Source organism: Homo sapiens, chromosome 11 (genome assembly GCF_000001405.40).
Source record: "Homo sapiens chromosome 11, GRCh38.p14 Primary Assembly".
Classification (NCBI taxonomy): Eukaryota; Metazoa; Chordata; class Mammalia; order Primates; family Hominidae; genus Homo; species Homo sapiens.
The window spans coordinates 25,477,207-25,498,569 of NC_000011.10; the positions used below are offsets into that span (position 1 = coordinate 25,477,207).

A 21,363-nucleotide genomic window follows, 5' to 3' on the forward strand; every position below is an offset into this window, starting at 1 on the left:
GAAAATAAATTCTAGAAACATTGAAAAAATTTATCTTCTCAGAAGTTAGCCTTCTCATCATAAATTGAGAAGTTCATTATGCATTTTCAGATTAACTTCAATGCACAGAATAAGGAGACAAAGAACTTATTGTAGTTTTGGGAAATCTGGATAATGGTAGAAATCTATTAACTCTTGTTTTGGAGACACAGAGTATTCCTTTGAATGAAGACTTAGGACAGATATTTTTACATCACAATATTATGCTTACTGCCTGTCATTCCTCTTTGATTATTACATTTTGGGGGAAGAAAAATTTCGAGGCTTTTCAGTGCTTGAGTTCCTAAATAAATTTCACATACTTTAGAAAGCATTTGATTTATTCGTTGACATTTCATTAATTAGCTGTAACATATTTATACTAACATGTGCCTTCTTTTGGGAGTGTATATTTCTCATTATAGTCCCATTGTGTACATTCTTATAGGCATGTAACTGTTTCTACTTTCATTTGTGACTTATGGCATTTGAATGTGTACATTCATATGTGTTGGCACATACACTAGTCAAATGTGTGTGCCTGTATCTGTACATCCCTGTCAGGTATGTATACATATATCCATATGTACATATTAGCCTTATAATATAATCCATCAAAATGTACACACCTGTGTCAAATATGTTGTTTGTTTACTGGGATTTTATTTCCGTTTAAACTACTGCCAAAATTAAATAAACAGTTATTCTAAAAAGCACTAGATAACTCCCTATTGGTGTTTGAAGCCCCAATGTGCTTACCGTTGCCTCATATATCAATGCAGGCTTTCCCCAGCTACCAAAGCTGCCATTTGATTCAGATACCCAATCTGCCTCACATGTGCTTGCGGTTGGGGAGTTACATTTGCGGCTATTTATTGGATGCTCAAAGAGATTAGTAAACACACACAGAGCTAGAGGAATTTTATACATTATCCTGATAATAACTAAAGTATTGTTTAGTTGGATGCAAATGAAGGAAATATGTCAAATGACTTACATATCTGACTACTAAAAAAATTATTGTATTATTACAGAGTATTACTGTAGTGTATTATTGTAGTGTATTATTATAGAGATAATAACTTAGATACAATGTTAAGGAAAGTAAAATATTTCATTTTCCTCCAATAACAATAAAGGGAATGTTCTTCTGATTGCAATTAACCTCAGATATTTTTGGATATGATCTATTTTTTAAAAATGATGATACATTTGAAACCAATGTCTGCTTAGAGTAAACACAGTACTTTGTTTATATAAAACCAACAATGCATTAAAATTTTGCCTGTTTGTGTGCTTTATTTGAAATTTCAGTTAATGGTAGTCCAGTGTATTTCAATAATTTTAAGAACACAACACTGCCTCTTTCATGGTGTAACCCACCAAGGTCTCTTGGCTTTAACCTGAGGTCTAGTGTGTGTTATATAATGTCCATTACAACTAGGTAACCAATTGAGTTTTTATTTATCTCTATTCCATATCATATAACATCTCCAGTTGTTTCCTAAGTATGCATAAATGATGTAGCTTACTAATACCCTTGCTTTAAAGTTGTCTTAAGTACCTTCTTTGGACAAAAGGATGCTATGTGTGGTAGTAGCTTCTATCAGAGGGCCTTGGAAATCTTCCTGAGCATGGGTCTCTATTTGCCATCTTGAAATAAACTCCTCAGCAAGATTCCTCAAGTCAGCTTATCCAATAGTGACTTACATGCATACTTAGATCCAAACATGTAGGAGATACATATACACACCAGAAGTGGTAAAACATAATGATTATAAGCAAAGGCATTAGAATCAGATTTCTTGGGGATTTTCAGTTCAACTACTCATCAACTACACAACCTTAAACACCTTATTTAACCATTATATGCCTCAGTTTGGTAATTTTTAAATTGAGAATAATAAAATGCCTATTTAGCAATTATAGCAGGCATCTACTTGAATATTAGACAAGATAATTTGAGTAGAACACTTGGATCATAGTAAACCTTCAATAAAGATATTAGCTATTGCTATATATGTGGTTATGTAACATGTATGTATACATGCATACACATGTGAATGGAAACATAATTATAAATGTGAAATTTTGCACAAGGATGTAATATTCATCCACCTATGACTATAAATCATTTAGTGTTTACGCATAAATGCACATATTTTATGTCCTTATACACAAAATGATCACATTTACATATGTGTAAAAGACATCTATGAATATATGTATAATATACAAGCTTTCATGCATTAAGAATATTCTGTAAATGTTCATAACTCCTACTATTATTTGCAAAAAATTTACCTTATATAATTATGTGTTGTACTCATATTGCATAAGGTGAATGAATTGAAGCTATTGTGATTAACCTTGTAAAATACCTACACCTGTGGCATCAAATGAATCTTCATTTATTTATTTGTTTGATCGCATAATTATTTATACACACTTATTTCTGTCTGTGTTGTAAATAACAAAGTCTAATACAAACTATAATTTTGATTACTTGTATTTTAAGAATTATTATAAAATTTTGCTCTGTTCTACAACTTTTTTCCTACTTAGTGAGTGATATTGGAGAGAAAATGATAATATATATATTTTTCATAACTAAGGGATATAAATTTTAATGAGAGAGATCTTAGTCCATAATTGCAATAAAAAGAAAGATTATTTTTTAACTAAGTAAGCATGTAAGCACTGTTCTGAAGTTTTAGGTTCAATTTGATGTTTATATACAAATATAAAAGTACATATTTCGGATCATCTCTTGACTTTTCTAGATTCTAAATTCTTATGAAGACTTCTATGCAATAATAACTGGGATATTTAAAATATTAATAAAGCCATAATCAAAATAGCTATAATTTATATTTTATGGTAGAAAAAATTCAACTCACATTCATGAATTTTGAATTGATATTTTATTTTCTTATTTGGGAAATTAAACCATTAACTTTTCTTTTAATTTTTTTGTTACTACTTTGAGGTTATAAAGCCTTTGAAATCTTTGTCTATCCCTGCACCGTTTTTTAAAGGAACACATGTAAATGGACTTCTTCCTCATGTGAATGAACATTTTTAAAAATGAAATTTCATTTGAATGTTTAGAATTTAGAAATCCCATCAATCTCCTAAAATAAAAAGCTTTACACTTCTTGAACTACTCAAGTAACCTGCTATGTTAAAACTGCACTTACAATCCTGACTTTTCAAGGTATTTACGGGCCAGTACCCATAATAACTCTTTTAAATTCCAAGTCAGGTCATGATACTGTTCTTGTTAAAACTTCCAATGGCTTCCCATCTCACTGAGAATTTGATTGAAATTGATTAAATGTTTTAATACAAAAGATTTTTGCCTTGGCCTACTAGGCCCTCTTAGACCTGCCCACCTTTCTGGGGCCTCGCCTGATTCCATTCTTTTTATGGCTCCCTCTGCTTATACTGGCCTCTCTTCTGTTTCTTGAATTTGCTTGGAATTCTCTGCCTTAGGACCTTTGCTTTTAATATTCTATCTTTCTTAAAACTTCTTACTCTGAATGTTTATTTATCTCACTCTTTCTACTCTGTACTCAGGTAACACTTTATATTTTGTGAGAATAGCTCTATGCAAAAGAGCACCACTAACTCCCGCACCCCACTGTCACCATTTGTTATATACTTAACTTATACACTTAACTTGCTTTATTTGTCTTTATAGTAATACCTACCTGACATTATATACATATGTATACACACACAGAGATACATATGTATAGTTGTGTATTTATTTACAAAAACTCTCATCTCTAAAATGTATTGTGCTCCATAAGAGCAGGAGCTTTGTTTTGTTCATTGCCATGTCCACAGAGGTCTGACACAAATTAGTTGTTCAACAAATATTGGTTGAATAATTTAACTAACAACTCACTTTCTCACTAGCTTCAATACTTCTCTGTCATGACAGTGAGGTAGGCATCACTCTGAAACTAGAATAGCAAGGCCTTAGGCTCGGGCCATGGCGCTGCCACTTTCAGAGGTATTAGCGTTGTGACCTTCAGCAAGCCACTCGGAAAATATCTAGCATTTTAAGAATTCATGAGTGCTGGAGTTTTATTTGTCTCCTCCAAATCACCAGCAAGTACTCAAGAGAATCACTACTTAAAGGTGAACATAAAGTGATTCATACTGAATACAACATCAAAAAGAAAGGAGCCATAACATCCTAAAAAGAATGATATAAAGATTGAAACAAGCATATGTAGTTGTTACTTTTAAGTAATTGTACAGCTTAACAAGATTATGAACATGTTCAGTTCAAGAGTTTCAGTGATTTTCCCAAGATCATGTGAAAGTAGAGCCAGTACTCCTAATGAGGAAGCCAGTGTTGAGTTAGCAACATACCGAATCAGACTAACGTGAGATTAGAGTTACAAAAACAATATACATCCTTAGGACACATCCTGAAGTTACCAAAGTGTATTTCTGGTGCTAGAGCTCAGGACTTTGCATTTATATAATACTCTTTATCCAAACCTAAGTATTCTAAAATTTAAGAGCTGCTGCCCTGTGCTACTTCTGTAAGTATTACCCTCTTAGGTTGGACAATGTACTGATTCTCTCTTTATATGAACTCTCTCTAGTTATCCGAATGTGCTATGAAGAAGCCAGAAGCAAGGTACTTAGAGCTACCTATTAAAGAAGTTATATCACTTGCAAAACTGGCAGTTTTTCAGCCAGTGTTATAGTACAGTTGCTTTTCTCACCACTCGTGGGCTAACTTTTACATATCTTGCCAGGTTGTCATCAGATTTTCAGATTGACAACCATACATGAGAATTAGCACAGCAGTTAACCTTAGGCCTGCTTTAAAGGCTGGCCATTGATTGGCATCTGGAAACTTAAATTTCAGGAGAATTCCCACAGTGTCCTTACAGATCAGAGTGGCTCAGTCTGCCTAAAAAGTTTATGCAAAACAATATGGCTTTTGCTGAATATCTGCTTTCCTTTTAGGAGTCTGGAATTTTGCTACCTGCTAAGCAGAGGGTTATTTGTAAGGGATCCCGAATATAAATCCTGAGCACTGAGTCTCGAATGAGCTTCATTGGTAGACAAGACAACTCAAAAATAAAATATTTGGGAATACACATAAACAAGGAGATGAAAGACTGTTAGAAGAAAAACTACAAAACACTGCTGAAAGAAATTATAGAAGACACAAAATCTTGTGTTTTCATAACTCATTGCTGGAGGAATTAAGTGAGTAGTGCATCCTGTGTGACGACACTGAAGGAGGACTCTTACGGCTCTTGTAAGATTATGCTTGGTTGCCTTGCACTTTTTCTTTCCCTGATATTGCTTTGTATTCTTTCACTATAATAAATCAACCACAAATAAGACTATATGCTGAATCCTGTAGGGCCCCTAGTAAATCATCAAATCTTGAGGTGATCTGGGGATCCCCAGCATGGTAACTTAATGGCTTATTTCTTCTTTCATTCTGAGCATAAAAGCTGCCCAAGTGGTGCTGGGATAATTGGCAAGCCACATGTAGAAGAATGAAACTGTATCCTCATCTGTCACTTTATTCAAAAATCAACTCAAGATGGATCAAAGACTTAAATCGAAGAGCTGAAATAATAAAAATTCTAGATGATAACATCAGAAAAATCCTTTTAGATATTGGCTTAGGCAAAGACTTCACGACCAAGAAACCAAAAGCAAATGCAACAAAAAACAAAGAGAAATAGATGAAACTTAACTAAACTAAAAAGCTTTTGCACAGCAAAAGAAATAATCAGCAGAGTAAACAGACAACCCACAGAGTGGGAGAAAATCTTTGCAAACTATGTATCCAACAAAGGACTAATCCAGAATCTACAAAGAACTCAAAGAAGTCAACAAGAAAAAAACAAATAATTCCATCAAAAAGTGGGCTAAGGACATGAATAGACAATTCTCAAAATAAGATATACAAATGAACAAAAAAAAATACAAAAAATTATCAATATGACTAATTATCAGAGAAATGCAAATCAAAACCATAATGTGATACCACCGTACTCCTGCAAAAAAATGTCCATAATTTAAAAATCCTAAAATAGTAGATGTTGGCATGGATGTGATGAAAGGGAACACTTTTACACTGCTGGTGAGGATGTAAACTCATACAGCCACTATGGAAAACAGTATGGCAATTCCTTAAAGAACTAAAAATAAATCTACCATTTGATCCAGCAGTCTTACTACTGGGTATTTACCCAGAGGAAAATAAGTCAGTATATGAAAAAGATATTTACACACATGTTTATAGCAGCACAATTCACAATTGCAAAAATATGTGTCAGCCCAAATGCCCATCAATCAACGAGTGGATAAAGAAAATATGGTATATGAATATACCACAGAATACCACTCAACCATAAAAAGAAATGAAATAATGTCATTTACAGCAACCTGGATGGAGTTGGAGACCATTATTCTAAATAAATTAGTTATAAACTTTAAAAAATTAAAATTAAAAAAAATTAATTAATTAACTCAGGAATGAAAACCAAATTGAACAAGCATTTTATCTTCTCACTTACAAGTGGGAGCTAAGCTATGAGGATGCAAAGGTATAAGAATTATACAATGGACTTTGTGTACTCAGGAGGAAGGGTGAAGTGGGGGTGAAGGATAAGTACACATTGAGTATAGTGTACAAGGATCGTGTGATGGGTGCACCAAAATCTCAGAAATCATTACTAAATAACTTATCCTTATTTCCAAATACAACTTGCTTCCCAAAAACCTACTGAAATTAAAAGATGGTAATTCGTAGTGTACTAGCTAATGCAGAAGATAGCAGAAAAACTGAACTCAGACCATTTATTAACTAAATCACAGTGTTGGCCTCAGGCCCTTCTGCATCTACAAGGAAGATAAGAAAGTACAGCTAGGTTGGAATTCAGTAGAAAAGTTGCTATTTTGTGAATGTTAAGCTTAAGAAAATATTCTAAAAGTGACTTTAATTTCAACATCAAAAAGTACTCTTCTGAAGTAATATATTTCTGGATTAAGATAATAACTGAAATATTTAATAGGGATATAATAACTGAAGAAAAATTAAAAATGAAAGCATGTAATTTATTTGCTTTTACGTGTTCTAATTCTGAAGTTTAAACTCATCACATGGCATTGTATCACTCTATTTGGCTCATGGGGCTCCAGTAACATTGGCCTTCTTGATCCTTGTTGATTGCTTCAAGATGCTTTTCCTTGGAGCCTTTGCGCTTGCAGTTCCTCCTACCAGAAGGTTTTTCTTTGATTTATTTATGTCTGTATACTCAGTTGTCGCCCCATCAGTGAGACTTTCCCTGACCCCTTAATTAAATCAAACCACTCCCTTGTACTTCTTAATCCCCATACCCTGTGTCATTTCATTCAAAATTTATCCATTCTGTATTTATTTTATTGATGCAAGGATTATTGCAATGCTAGGTAAGAAAAATAAATAATGGATTTTAAAATATACATATAGAATTAAATTTTTAGCTTACACAATTTTTGTAAAACTATTTTCTAAATCAAATTTGTATTGCATTTTATTTGCTTTAGTGGTGTATTGAGTGCCAGACATATAAAATCTGTAAGTAATTTTGTAAGTCAAATTGTCTCCTTCTTATTGTAAGTTCTACAGGAAGCCAAATGACTATAATAAATGTGTATAAGTCTAGGGAATTCTAACAAGAAAAAACCTCAAAACAACTACAATCGGTATTCCATCATCACTGACAGCTACATTTTGTTGATTCTTCATTACAAGCTCTAACCACTGTGGTAAGTCTTTAAGATATATTACTTTATGTAATTTTTCTAGGAATTTTATTTCTAATTTATATTTAGAGAATCTAAGGTTTGTGGCAGCATAAAACCTGGTCAAACTCAATGTCACACAGCAGTAAGTAATAGAAATGGGACAAAATCTCCAATTTCTGCTGAGTTCCATGACTGACATATTATCCACTCTTGCTATTTTGCTTCTCTACTCATTATCACATGACAGTCTGCACACCCATTATGTGATTTACAATTGACTTAACTGTTGACGGGATAAATCTGGATGTTTGTTTCCTAACCAAGACCTATTTCTTATAATGAGATACTATTTCTAGAAACTCTGCCAACTCAGAAGAGATGATACTCATCTGCATGAAACCCCTGCAAGTCACAGTGTGTAACTAAAGTTTGTGGTGCAAGCTATATTTTGTTCTTTGGATGTAATAAACTTATTTTCATTTTGCTTCCTTTGATGGGGCAATCAACCCGTAATTACTGTTTCCTGTTTACCGGAGATCTGACAATGTCTTCCTTATCTGCTTGTTTCTCTAAAAAGATTAAGTAGTACAAACACAAAGGGCATTTGGCTGACCTTGCCCTATGATTAATTTCATAACAAAGGAGAATCAAATATTTAATTTGTTAATGTTTGACACTTGTTTCACCTTCTAGTTGTAATCAAACTAAAAAGGGGCTTTGTTATATTTTATTTCCCTTTTGAGATTCATTTTACAAGTCATGCTTGAAATGTAATTTCTTCTGTGTTGTATTATAGCAGAATCCTTCTTGGAGGAAGTTCAAATTTGAGGGTGAGTAGAGACTGAGATGTTAGCAAACTGATATCTTTTCTTTGTAGATACTCAACACTGGCATTTGGAATGTGAAAGAATTGGTTCTGTTAATAAGGGAGTTGGTATTTTCTAGTCTGTTCTACATATATCTATACTTGGGTGCTGTTACTACCCTGATTGTTCCTCCTAAATGAATAGGAATATTATAACCTAAAACATATGTCACTTCTATGCCACGTTTTTCCACAAAATCATATTTGACAACTTGTCTAAGCATTCCTTGATTGTCTGCCCTTGCCTAAGCTTGGAAAATAAATATTTAAAATTAAATTGCTGAATAAAAATCTCAAGTGTTATGGAAGAGACAATTGAACAATTACCCTCCAGTTGCAATCTTGGATTACTTTCTATTTCACACTAATAAGGGATTTCATACTCATCCTTGGCCTCATACACTTCTTTCCCCATTATTTGCCATCATTAAGCTTCATCAAGATAATCTTTGCAATATTTCTTAATTCTGTCCTCAAATGTATGTTTCTGCTGTCACTATAGGTTTTTTTTTTGTTGTTGTTGTTTGTTTGTTTTTTTTATCAGTCTTCTGCATTATTGGGCTAACTTAAATCTAACTCCTCAACCTTGTACTTGGCAAGGTCTCCTTTGGATCGCTAAACATTCACTCGCGTCCGTGTGAAGAGACCACCAAATAGGCTTTGTGTGAGCAATAAAACTGTTTATTTCACGTGGGTGCAGGCGGGCTGAGTCCGAAAAGAGAGTCAGCAAAGGGAGATAAGGGTGGGGCCGTTTTATAGGATTTGGTAGATAAAGGAAAATTACAGTCAAAGGGGGGTTGTTCTCTGGCAGGCAGGAGTGGGGGTCACAAGGTGCTCAGTAGGGGAGCTTTTGAGCCAGGATGAGCCAGGAGAAGGAATTTCACAAGATAATGTTATCAGTTAAGGCAGGAACAGGCCATTTTTCACTTCTTTTTGGTGGAATGTCAAAGGTTAAGGCAGGAACCGGCCATCTGGATGTGTACATGCAGGGCACAGGGGATATGATGGCTTAGCTTGGGCTCAGAGGCCTGACATTCCTGTCTTCTTATATTAATAAGAAAAATAAAACGAAATAGTGGTAAAGTGTTGGGACGGCGAAAATTTCGGGGGGTGGTATGGAGAGATAATGGGCAATGTTTCTCAGGGCTGCTTCGAGTGGGATTAGGGGCGGCGTGGGAACTTAGAGTGGGAGAGATTAAGCTGAAGGAAGATTTTGTGGTAAGGGGTGATATTGTGGGGTTGATAGAAGAAACATTTGTCATGTAGAATTATTGGTGATGTCCTGGATATGGTTTTGTATGAATTGAAAAACTAAACGGAATAAGGAGAAAAACAGGTATTAAAGGTCTAAGAATTGGGAGGACCCAGGATATCTAATTAGAGAGTGCCTAAGGAGATTCAGCATAGTCCTGCCAGCAAAGATTATTTATTTAAGAGTTAAGAGTGGCAGTTTGGGGTTAGCACCAGGAGATATCAGCTGTGATGGCTTGGAGAAACAGTGTAAACTGGAAGTGTAAACAAGAGCAGGGCATGTATGAGTAGTTGACAATGGTGAATAGGAGTGTGACTAGACAAAAGATAGGGATGACAAGTTTTTTGGGACACAGTCCAAGTTGGTCTGGTGTCTGGAATGAGACTGGGCCTAATAAAAAGGAGCGTCCATACAGGAGCTTAAATGGGCTGTACCCTGTAGCATTCTGAGGACAGGCCGGAATTCTGAGAAGGGAAAGTGGTAAAAGTATTGTCTAGTCCTTTTTAGGTTGGTGGCTGAGCTTGGTGAGGTGTGTTTTTAAAAGATCTTTAGTCCATTCTACCTTTCCTGAAGACTGAGGACTGTAAGGGATATAAAGATTTCACTGAATACCAAGAGCCTGAAAAAATGCTTGGCTGATTTGACTAATAAAGGCTGGTTCGTTATCAGACTGTATAGGGGTGGGAAGGCCAAACCGAGGAATTATGTCTGACAGAAGGGAAGAAATGACGGCGATGGCCTTCTCAGACCCTGTAGGAAAGGCCTCTACCCATCCAGTGAAAGTGTCTACCCAGACTAAGAAATATTTTGGTTTTCTGACTCGGGGCATGTGAGTAAAGTCAATTTGCCACTCCTGGGCAGGGACAAATCCCCCAGCTTGATGTATAGGAAAGGGAGGAGGCCTGAATAATCCCTGAGGGGTAGCAGAATAGCAGATGGAACACTGAGAAGTGATTTTCTTGAGGATAGATTTCCATGATGGAAAGGAAATGAGAGGTTCTAAGAGGCGGGCTAGCGGCTTGTAACCTGCATGGAAGAGGTTATGAAATGACAACAGAATAGAATGGGCCTGTGAGGCTGGAAGGAGATATTTTCCTTGGTCTAAGAACCATTTGCCTTGTGTGGGAAGAGATTGATAGGTGGAAGTTTCAGCGGGGGCGTAGGTGGGAGTGACCGATGTGAAGGAGAAAAACTGGCCTTGAGGGACACAAGTTGGAATGCTAGCTGCTTGTCTAGCAACCTTATCAGCATAAGCATTGCCTAGAGCAATGGGATCTGACGCCTTTTGATGCTCCTTACAGTGAATGACCCCAGCTTCCTCTGGAAGTAAAGCGGCCTTGAGTAGAGTTTTTATTAAAGAGGCATTAATGATGAAGGACACTTGTGTAGTGAGGAAACCTCTTTCAGCCCATATGACTGCATGGTGGTGCAGAATATGGAAGGCATATTTAGAGTCAGTATAAATATTGACGTGTAGTCCTTTTGCAAGAGTGAGGGCCTGAGTTAAGGCAACTAGTTCGGCTTGCTGAGAGGTAGTGGAGGGGGGCAGAGCGGTAGCCTCAATAACAGATGTGGAAGACACTATTGCATAGCCTGCCTTTGCTGGTGAGCAGCGATTAGGCCTGGTGGAACTGCCGTCAATAAACCAAGTGTGATCAGGGGGAGGAACAAGAAAGAAGGAAATATGGGGAAATGAGGTGAATGTCAGGTGGATCAGAGAGATGCAGTCATGGGGGTCAGGTGTGGTATCAGGAATAATGTGGGAGGCCGGATTGAAGTTCAGGCCAGGAACAATGGTAATTGTGGGAGACTCAACAAAGAGTGAGTACAGCTGAAGGAGCCGGGGAGCAGACAGTATATGTGTCAGGTGTGAGGAAGAAAATAGATTTTGGAAGTTATGAGAACTGGAGAGAGTGAGTTGAGCATAATTTGTGATTTTAAGGGCCTCTAAAAGTATTAGGGTGGTGACAGCCGCCACACGCAGACTTGAGGGCTAGGCAAAACAGTAAGGTCAAGTTGTTTGGATAGAAAGGTTACAGGGCGCGGTCCCGGTTCTTGTGTAAGAATTCCGACTGCACAGCCCTGCACTTCAGCTGTGGGTAATGAAAAGGGTTGGGATGAGTTAGGGAGAGCTAGGTTGGGGGCAGTCTCTAAAGCTGTCTTCAAGGAACAGAAAGAGGAATGGGGAAAGGATTTAGGATCTATGGGGTCAGCTAGGTTTCCTTTTGTGAGTTTATATAATGGTTTTGTTAGGATGGCAAAACCAGGTATCTGAAGTCAAAAGTATCCAACCATGCCTAGGAAGGAAAGGAGTTGTTGTTTTATAGGTGTTGGGGTTTGAGAGATCAGCTGAACAGGATTGGCAGGGACAGCACGTGTGTTTTTATGAGAATTACGCTGAGATAGGTAACAGATGAGGAAGAAATTTGGGCTTGATTGAAGTAATGGGGGCTGTCTGTGAAGTCTTGCGGCAGTACAGCCCAGGTAATTTGCTGAGCCTGATGGGTGTCAGGGTCAGTCCAAGTGAAAGCGAAGAGAGGCTGGGATGAAGGGTGCAAAGGAATAGTAAAGAAAGCATGTTTGAGATCCAGAACAGAATAATGGGTTGTGGAGGGAGGTATGGAGGATAGGAGAGTATATGGGTTTGGCACCACGGGGTGGATAGGCAGAACAATTTGGTTGATAAGGCGCAGATCCTGAACTAACCTGTAAGGCTTGTCGGTTCTAGGACAGGTAAAATGGGGGAATTGTAAGGAGAGTTTATAGGCTTTAAAATGCCATGCTGTAGCAGGCAAGTGATAACAGGCTTTAATAATTCTAAAGCATGCTGTGGGATGGGATATTGGCGTTGAGTAGGGTAAGGGTGATTAGTTTTTAATGAGATGGTAAGGGGTGCATGATTGGTCACCAAGGAGGGAGTAGAGGTATCCTATACTTGTGGGTTAAGGTGGGGGGATACAAGAGGAGGACACAAAGGAGGCTTTGGATTGGGAAGAAGGGTGTCAATGAGATGTAGCTGTAGTCCAGGAATAGTCAGGGAAGCAGATAATTTAGTTAAAGTGTCTCGGCCTAATAAGGGAACTGAGCAGGTGGGGATAACTAAAAAGGAGTGCTTAAAATAGTATTGTCTAAGTTGGCACCAGAGTTGGGGAGTTTTAAGAGGTTTAGAAGCCTGGCCGTCAATACCCACAACAGTTATGGAGGCAAGAGAAACAGGCCCTTGAAAAGAAGGTAATGTGGAGTGGGTAGCCTCCGTATTGATTAAGAAGGGGACGGACTTACCCTCCACTGTGAGAGTTACCTAAAGCTCGGTGTCCGTGATGGTCTACAGGGCTTCCAAGGTGATTGGGCAGCCTCAGTCTTCAGCTGCTAGGCTGAGAAGATCTGGGAAGGAGTCAGAGAGCCTTGGGCCAGAGTTCCACGGGCTCTGGGAGTGGCTGCCAGGTGAGTTGAACAGTCCGATTTCCAGTGGGGTCCCGCACAGATGGGACGTGGCTTAGGAGGAATCCTGGGCTGCGGGCATTCCTTGGCCTGGTGGCCAGATTTCTGGCACTTGTAGCAAGCTCCTGGGGGAGGCAGGCCTGGAGGAACGCCTGGTCACTGCGGTTTAGGCGTTTGGAAGTTCTTGTGTGCTGGAGATGTGGCTGGGGTTTGTCTCACAGTGGAGGCAAGGAATTGCAACTCAGAAATATGTTGCTATTTGGCTGCCTCTACTCTATTATTGTACACCTTGAAGGTGAGGTTAATTAAGTCCTTTTGTGGGGTTTTAGGGCCGGAACTTAATTTTTGGAGTTTTATTTAATGTCGGGAGCAGATTGGGTAATAAAATGTATATTGAGAATGACTGTTGTTGGTGTATAGTAATATTAGTCATTTTTGCACATTGATTTTGTATCCTTCAGAGTTCGATGGAGTTCTTGATAAGAACTTAAGGAGCTTTTGGCTGAGACTATGGGGATTTCTAGATATAGGATCATATTGTTTGCAAACAGGAATAGTGTGACTTCCTCTCTTCCTATTTAGATGCCCTTTCTTTTTTCTATGGCCTGATTTCCCTGGCCAGGATTTCCAATACTATGTTGAATAGGAGTGGTGAGAGAGGGCTTCCTTGCCTTGTTCTGGTTTTCAAGGGAAATGCTTCCAGCTTTTGCCTGTTGAATATGATGTTGACTGGGGGTTTGTCACAGATGGTATTTTCAGGTATTTTCCTTCAATATATGCTTTACTGACAGTTTTTAACATTAAAGGGTGTCAGATTTTATCAAAATTTGTTTCTGAACCTTTTGCGATAATTATGTGGTTTTCGTCTTTAGTTTTGTTTATGTAATGAATTCCATTTATTATTAATTTGTGTAGGTTGAACCAACCTTACATCCCAGGTAAAATGCCTATTTGATTGTGGTGGATAAGCTTTTTGATGAGCTGCTGGATTCAGTGTGCCCGTATTTTGTTGAGGATTTTTGCATCAATATTCATCAAGGATAATGGCCTGAAGTTTTCCTTTTTTTTTTTTTTTTTTGTTGTTGTTGTTTGTTTTTGTACCTCTACCAGGTTTTGTTATCAGTATGATGCTGGCCTCATAGACTGAGTTAGGATAGAATCCCTCCTCCTCAAACTTTTGGCATAGTTTCAGTTGGAATAGTACCAGCTCTTCTTTATGCATCTAGCAGAATTCAGCTATCAATCCACCGAGTCCTGGGCTTTTTTTGATTGGTAAGCTATTTATTGCTGCCTCAATTTCAGAGCTCATTATTGGTCTGCTCAGAGTTTCAACTTTTTCCTGGCTCAGTCTTGGGAGGGAGCATTTGTCCAGGAATTATGCATTTCTTCTAGATTTTCTAGTGTATGTGCATAGAGGTGTTCCTGATATTCTCTAATGGGTATTTGTATTTCTTTGTGATCAATGATAATATCCCCCTTGTCATTTCTGATTGTTATTTGAATCTTCTCTTTTCTTCTTTATTATTCTAGCTCGTGATCTATTTTATTAATTTTTTTTCAAAAACCAGTTCTTGAATTCTTTGATCTTTAAATTTATTTTAGAAGTTGTCACTGGAAATTTTAATTTTAACCATAGCAGTCCATTCATGTAACATGAAGACATCTATCCTTTGCATGTTTACTTATGATCTCTATATTGTAATCACATATTACATTTAAATTTTTTTTTTATTATACTTTAAGTTTTAGGGTACATGTACACAACGTGCAGGTTACTTACATATGTATACATGTGCCATGTTGGTGCGCTGCACCCACTAACTCGTCATTTAACATTAGGTATATCTCCTAATGCCATCCCTCCCCCCTCCCCCCACCCCACGACAGACCCCGGTGTGTGATGTTCCCCTTCCTGTGTCCATGTGTTCTCATTGTTCAGTTTCCACCTATGAGTGAGAACATGCGGTGTTTGGTTTTTTGTTCTTGTGATAGTTTGCTGAGAATGATGGTTTCTAGCTTCATCCATGTCCCTACAAAGGACATGAACTCATCATTTTTTATGGCTGCATAGTATTCCATGGTGTATATGTGCCACATTTTCTTAATCCAGTCTATCATTGTTGGACATTTGGGTTGGTTCCAAGTCTTTGCTATTGTGAATAGTGCCACAGTAAACATACGTGTGCATGTGTCTTTATAGCAGCATGATTTATAATCCTTTGGGTATATACCCAGTAATGGGCTGGCTGGGTCAAATGGTATTTCTAGTTCTAGATCCCTGAGGAATCGCCACACTGACTTCCACAGTGGTTGAACTAGTTTATAGTCCCACCAACAGTGTAAAAGTGTTCCTATTTCTCCACATCCTCTCCAGCACCTGTTGTTTCCTGACTTTTTAATGATCGCCCTACTAACTGCTGTGAGATGGTATCTCATTGTGGTTTTGATTTGCATTTCTCTGATGGCCAGTGATGATTAGCAAAAGAAACTACCATAAGAGTGAACAGGCAACCTACAGAATGGGAGAAAATTTTTGCAATCTACTCATCTGACAAAGGGCTAATATCCAGAATCTACAATGAACTCAAACAAATTTACAAGAAAAAACAACCCCATCAGAAAGTGGGCGAAGGATATGAACAGACACTTCTCAAAAGAACACATTTATGCAGCCAAAAGACACATGAAGAAATGCTCTTCATCACATTTTAAATTTTATTAATTTTTTTCTACAGTGAAGCAACTATGAGTCTATATTGCTTAGAATAATGATTAAATCACTGTTGAATGTACTTGCCTATATTTTGTTGTAAAATATAAATGTAAGATATATAAAAGTATATTAAGCCTTATATATTAACATGGCATACACTCATCAGTAAACATTCATTTTATGATCCTTACAGAGTTCAAATGCAAATAGTTTATTATTAGTGTTTAAAATTAATGCATAGCAAATGCATGTGAAGTTCAAGTCAAAAGTCATAACTGCACAGCATTATGGGAAAAGTTTAAAGATGAATTAGAGTAGACTGTATGGTATAAATGAATATTTGCACTATTTCAAAGTCTGCTTTCAAAAGCCATATTTATTAGAGGATTTTTTTCTACTATATTTTCCTCTTCAATAACTTTTTAAAATCTCACAAAGTGGTAGTATTTATTGTAAAATAAAAATACAACTGAAAGAAGCACACATGCAGGTAAATCTATAGCAGTAATACACAAGATGGCAAGTTCAGTTTTTTTCTCGTGTCTAACAGATTTCCAAAAAAGTGTTTTTCAATACATCTAAAATGACTGCTTACCTGTCTTGCACGAATGTCTTCTGCATCAAAAGTCACAGGTCAGTTTGCAAATAGTTGAAACTTACATCACATCAGAAAGTAAAGTGAAATGACTGCATGCTACAAAAACTAAAGTTGACTTCTTCTACTTTAGTCAACACCATTCTAAAAGAAACTAAATAAGCAGTGATAGTAAAACTGGTATAATGACATATGATTGTGGAAGGAGTGTGAGAGAGACAGGACTAGGGAGAAAATGACAAATTAATCTTTTATCCCATCAGTTAGTTATACACTTTAGAGTGTCAGTAAGACAATTCCAAAGTCCTGGGGAATCTTCTGGATCTTTACAGAAAGATACCTCTATGACTGGTGTGTTTTGATGTTAGTGTGTGGTGTGTGTGTGGTTAATCTTCCATTCATGTAATCATTCCTTGAATACATTTCTTGAGCAGCTCCCTTCTGTCCTGTTTTTGTACCAGGCTCATATCACCTTTATAACACCCATTGTAAAAGTGAGATAGAGTCTGTTGTGAAAGACAAATTTGTCAAATTTAATACCAGTTACTCTTTATTTCACCTTTTATTATGATTATTATTAGAGAGGGTGTATTAGGGTTCTCTAGAGGGAGAAACCTAATAGAATATATGTATATATGAAGAAGAGTTTATTAGGATAATTGACTCATATGATCAAAAGGTAAGGTCCCATAATAAGTCATCTGCAAGCTGAGGAGCAAGGTAGCCAGTCTGAGTCCCAAAACCTCAAAAGTAGGGAAGCCAACAGTGCAGCCTTCAGTCTGTCGCCGAAGGCTCAAGAGCCCCTGGCAAACCATCGTGTAGGTACAAGAGTCCAGGAGCAGTCTAATGTTCGAGGGCAGGAAGCATCCAACACAGAAGAAGGATGGAGGCCAGAAAAGTTAGCACATCTGCTCTTTCCATGCCTGCTTTTATGCTGGCAGCTGATTAAATGGTGCCCACCCAGACTGAGGGTGGGTCTGCCTCTCTCAGTCCGCTGACTTAAATGTTAATCTCCTTTGGCAACACCCTGACAGACACACTCAGGAACAATACTTTGCATCCTTCAATTTAATCAAGTTGACACTCAATATTAAACATCACAGAGGGTATCTCACTGTATCACCCAGGCTGGAATGGGTATACAATCATAGCTCACTACAGCCTCCAAATCCTATCTCAAGCAATCCACCCACCTCAGCCTCCTGAGGAGATAGGGTTACAGGTGTGCCAGGCTTTACCTTTAACTGTAGCAAAATTGATAGTCTCAATCCGAAGTTGTTTTTAGAAATAAATATAATTGCTTCATAAATAGAGCAAAGTTGTAAAATGTAAAGACATGCTTTGCATGTTTTTGTTTTCTTACCCAACTTGCTCATCAAAATCAGTCTATTGTTAATGCAAGCTTCCTGCCAGGTCACTTTTTCTGCAATCTCTGACATCTTCTTCAAGCTCTCTGCCGGTTTTTACCTAAACTTGTGCGCCTATGCAGTTTGCTCATATGGCAGATGTCAAGGATTATGTTAGTCTAATTGGTCAAAGTTATTTTTCTCTGAAAAAGCCTCTCAAGTCAGACTAGGCAGGATCTCTGGGAGGTCAATCCCACTGCAATTCTATCTTAATCAGAACAATAATTAATTTTAGTAAGTTTTTGGCCATTCACAGTTGTTTTATTCCTTCATGCTGCACCTAATTCAAACACTGAGTGAAAGCACTTGTTGACGTTGTCAGAGAGGGGTTACTTGTAGTTTCTGTGATATGGAGAAGTATTACAAAGTATTTAATGAAATGATTGGGAGAACTGTTATTCCTTCTCATAAGTCCCATCTTCTAATCAAAGGCTCTCCTACATGATAAATAGACCCTTTAATCCCTGGTTCTATCTATATCTGCATATCTATAAGTTTCTACATAGATTTTGTATATTATAACTGCATGTACATGGATTTTTTAAATATTAGGGATAAGTACCTTTTTAGTTGTACAATTTTCATCTAAGAAGTAATGTGTCTTTTCCAGAATTAATATGTCACAGATATGTTGAGAGTCAGAGATTCAATCTGGATTTTCTGGCATGAGCTGTGGGATCCTGGAGAAGTCATTTCTCTATTTTGGCCTTCCTCAGTTTCCTAGATGGTCAGATGAGGGAACTAGACTTGGTTAATCTAAAAAATTCCTTCTAAATTTACTCTTCACTAAACCATAAAAAATGATTTTGAAATTTCTTATTTTATTATTTTTATTTTTATTTTTTAAATTTATTATTATTATACTTTAAGTTTTAGGGTACATGTGCACAATGTGCAGGTTAGTTACATAAGTATACATGTGCCATGCTGGTGCGCTGCACCCACTAACTCGTCATCTAGCATTACGTATATCTCCCAATGCTATCCCTCCCCCCACCCCCACCCCACAACAGTCCCCAGAGTATGATGTTCCCCTTCCTGTGTCCATGTGTTCTCATTGTTCAATTCCCACCTATGAGTGAGAATATGTGGTGTTTGGTTTTTTGTTCTTGTGATAGTTTACTGAGAATGATTTCCAGTTTCATTCATGTCCCTACAAAGGACATGAACTCATCATTTTTTATGGCTGCATAGTATTCCATGGTGTATATATGCCACATTTTCTTAATCCAGTCTATCATTGTTGGACATTTGGGTTGGTTCCAAGTCTTTGCTATTGTGAATAATGCCGCAATAAACATACATGTGCATGTGTCTTTATAGCAGCATGATTTATAGTCCTTTGGGTATATACCCAGTAATGGGATGGCTGGGTCAAATGGTATTTCTAGTTCTAGAACCCTGATGAATCGCCACACTGACTTCCACAATGGTTGAAATAGTCTACAGTCCCAACAACAGTGTAAAAGTGTTCCTATTTCTCCACATCCTCTCCAGCACCTGTTGTTTCCTGTTTTTAATGATCGCCATTCTAACTGGTGTGAGATGATAACTCATTGTGGTTTTGATTTGCATTTCTCTGATGGCCAGTGATGGTGAGCATTTTTTCATGTGTTTTTTGGCTGCATAAATGTCTTCTTTTGAGAAGTGTCTATTTATGTCCTTTGCCAACTTTTTGATGGGGTTGTTTGTTTTTTTTCTTGTAAATTTGTTTGAGTTCATCGTAGATTCTAGATATTAGCCCTTTGTCAGATGAGTAGGTTGCGAAAATGTTCTCCCATTTTGTAGGTTGCCTGTTCACTCTGATGGTAGTTTCTTTTGCTGTGCAGAAGCTCTTTAGTTTAATTAGATCCCATTTGTCAATTTTGTCTTTTGTTGCCATTGCTTTTGGTGTTTTAGACATGAAGTCCTTGCCCATGCCTATGTCCTGAATGGTAATGCCTAGGTTTTCTTCTAGGGTTTTTATGGTTTTAGGTCTAACGTTTAACTCTCTAATCCATCTTGAATTGATTTTTGTATAAGATGTAAGGAAGGGATCCAGTTTCAGCTTTCTACATATGGCAAGCCAGTTTCCCAGCACCATTTATTAAATAGGGAATCCCTTCCCCATTGCTTGTTTTTGTCAGGTTCGTCAAAGATCAGATAGTTGTAGATATGTGGCATTATTTCTGAGGGCTCTGTTCTGTTCCACTGATCTATATCTCTGTTTTGGTACCAGTACCATGCTGTTCTGGTTACTGTAGCCTTGTAGTATAGTTTGAAGTCAGGGAGTGTGATGCCTCCAGCTTTGTTCTTTTGGCTTAGGATTGACTTGACAATGCAGGCTCTTTTTTGGTTCCCTATGAACTTGAAAGTAGTTTTTTCCAATTCTGTGAAGAAATTCATTGGTAGCCTGATGGGGATGGCATTGAATCTGTAAATTACCTTGGGCAGTATGGCCATTTTCACAATATTGATTCTTCCTACCCATGAGCATGGAATGTTCTTCCATTTGTTTGTATCCTCTTTTATTTCCTTGAGCAGTGGTTTGTAGTTCTCCTTGAAGAGGTCTTTCACATCCCTTGTAAGTTGGATTCCAAGGTATTTTATTCTCTTTGAAGCAATTGTGAATGGGAGTTCACTCATGATTTGGCTCTCTGTCTGTTGTTGGTGTATAAGAATGCTTGTGATTTTTGTACATTGATTTTGTATCCTGAGACTTTGCTGAAGTTGCTTATCAGCTTAAGGAGATTTTGGGCTGAGACAATGGGGTTTTCTAGATATACAATCATGTCATCTGCAAACAGGGACAATTTGACTTCCTCTTTTCCTAATTGAATACCCTTTATTTCCTCCTCCTGCTTAATTTCCCTGGCCAGAACTTCCAACACTATGTTGAATAGGAGTGGTGAGAGAGGGCATCCCTGTCTTGTGCCCGTTTTCAAAGGGAATGCTTCCAGTTTTTGCCCATTCAGTATGATATTGGCTGTGGGTTTGTCATAGATAGCTCTTATTATTTTGAGATACGTCCCATCAATACCTAATTCATTGAGAGTTTTTAGCATGAAGTGTTGTTGAATTTTGTCAAAGGCCTTTTCTGCATCTATTGAGATAATCATGTGGTTTTTGTCTTTGGTTCTGTGTATATGCTGGATTACATTTATTGATTCGCATATATTGAACCAGCCTTGCATCCCAGGTGTGAAGCCCACTTGATCATGGTGGATAAGCTTTTTGGTGTGCTGCTGGATTCGGTTGGCCAGTATTTTATTGAGGATTTTTGCATCAATGTTCATCAAGGATATTGTTCTA

General features: G+C 37.4%; 1 long non-coding RNA gene across 2 annotated transcripts in view, besides 1 other annotated feature; it reads left to right on the forward strand.

The window, feature by feature from the left end:
- Positions 1-21,363, forward strand: part of LINC02699 (long intergenic non-protein coding RNA 2699) — a 470,852-nt gene that overhangs the window by 23,607 nt on the left and 425,882 nt on the right. The window lies entirely within an intron of this gene.
- Positions 10,967-11,468: an enhancer, noted in NCBI's record as "NANOG hESC enhancer chr11:25509719-25510220 (GRCh37/hg19 assembly coordinates)". NCBI's record gives its function as "activates a minimal SCP1, AML or CMV promoter by ChIP-STARR-seq in primed H9 embryonic stem cells {active_cell/tissue: H9 hESC(primed)}" and the evidence as "EXISTENCE:reporter gene assay evidence [ECO:0000049][PMID:30033119]".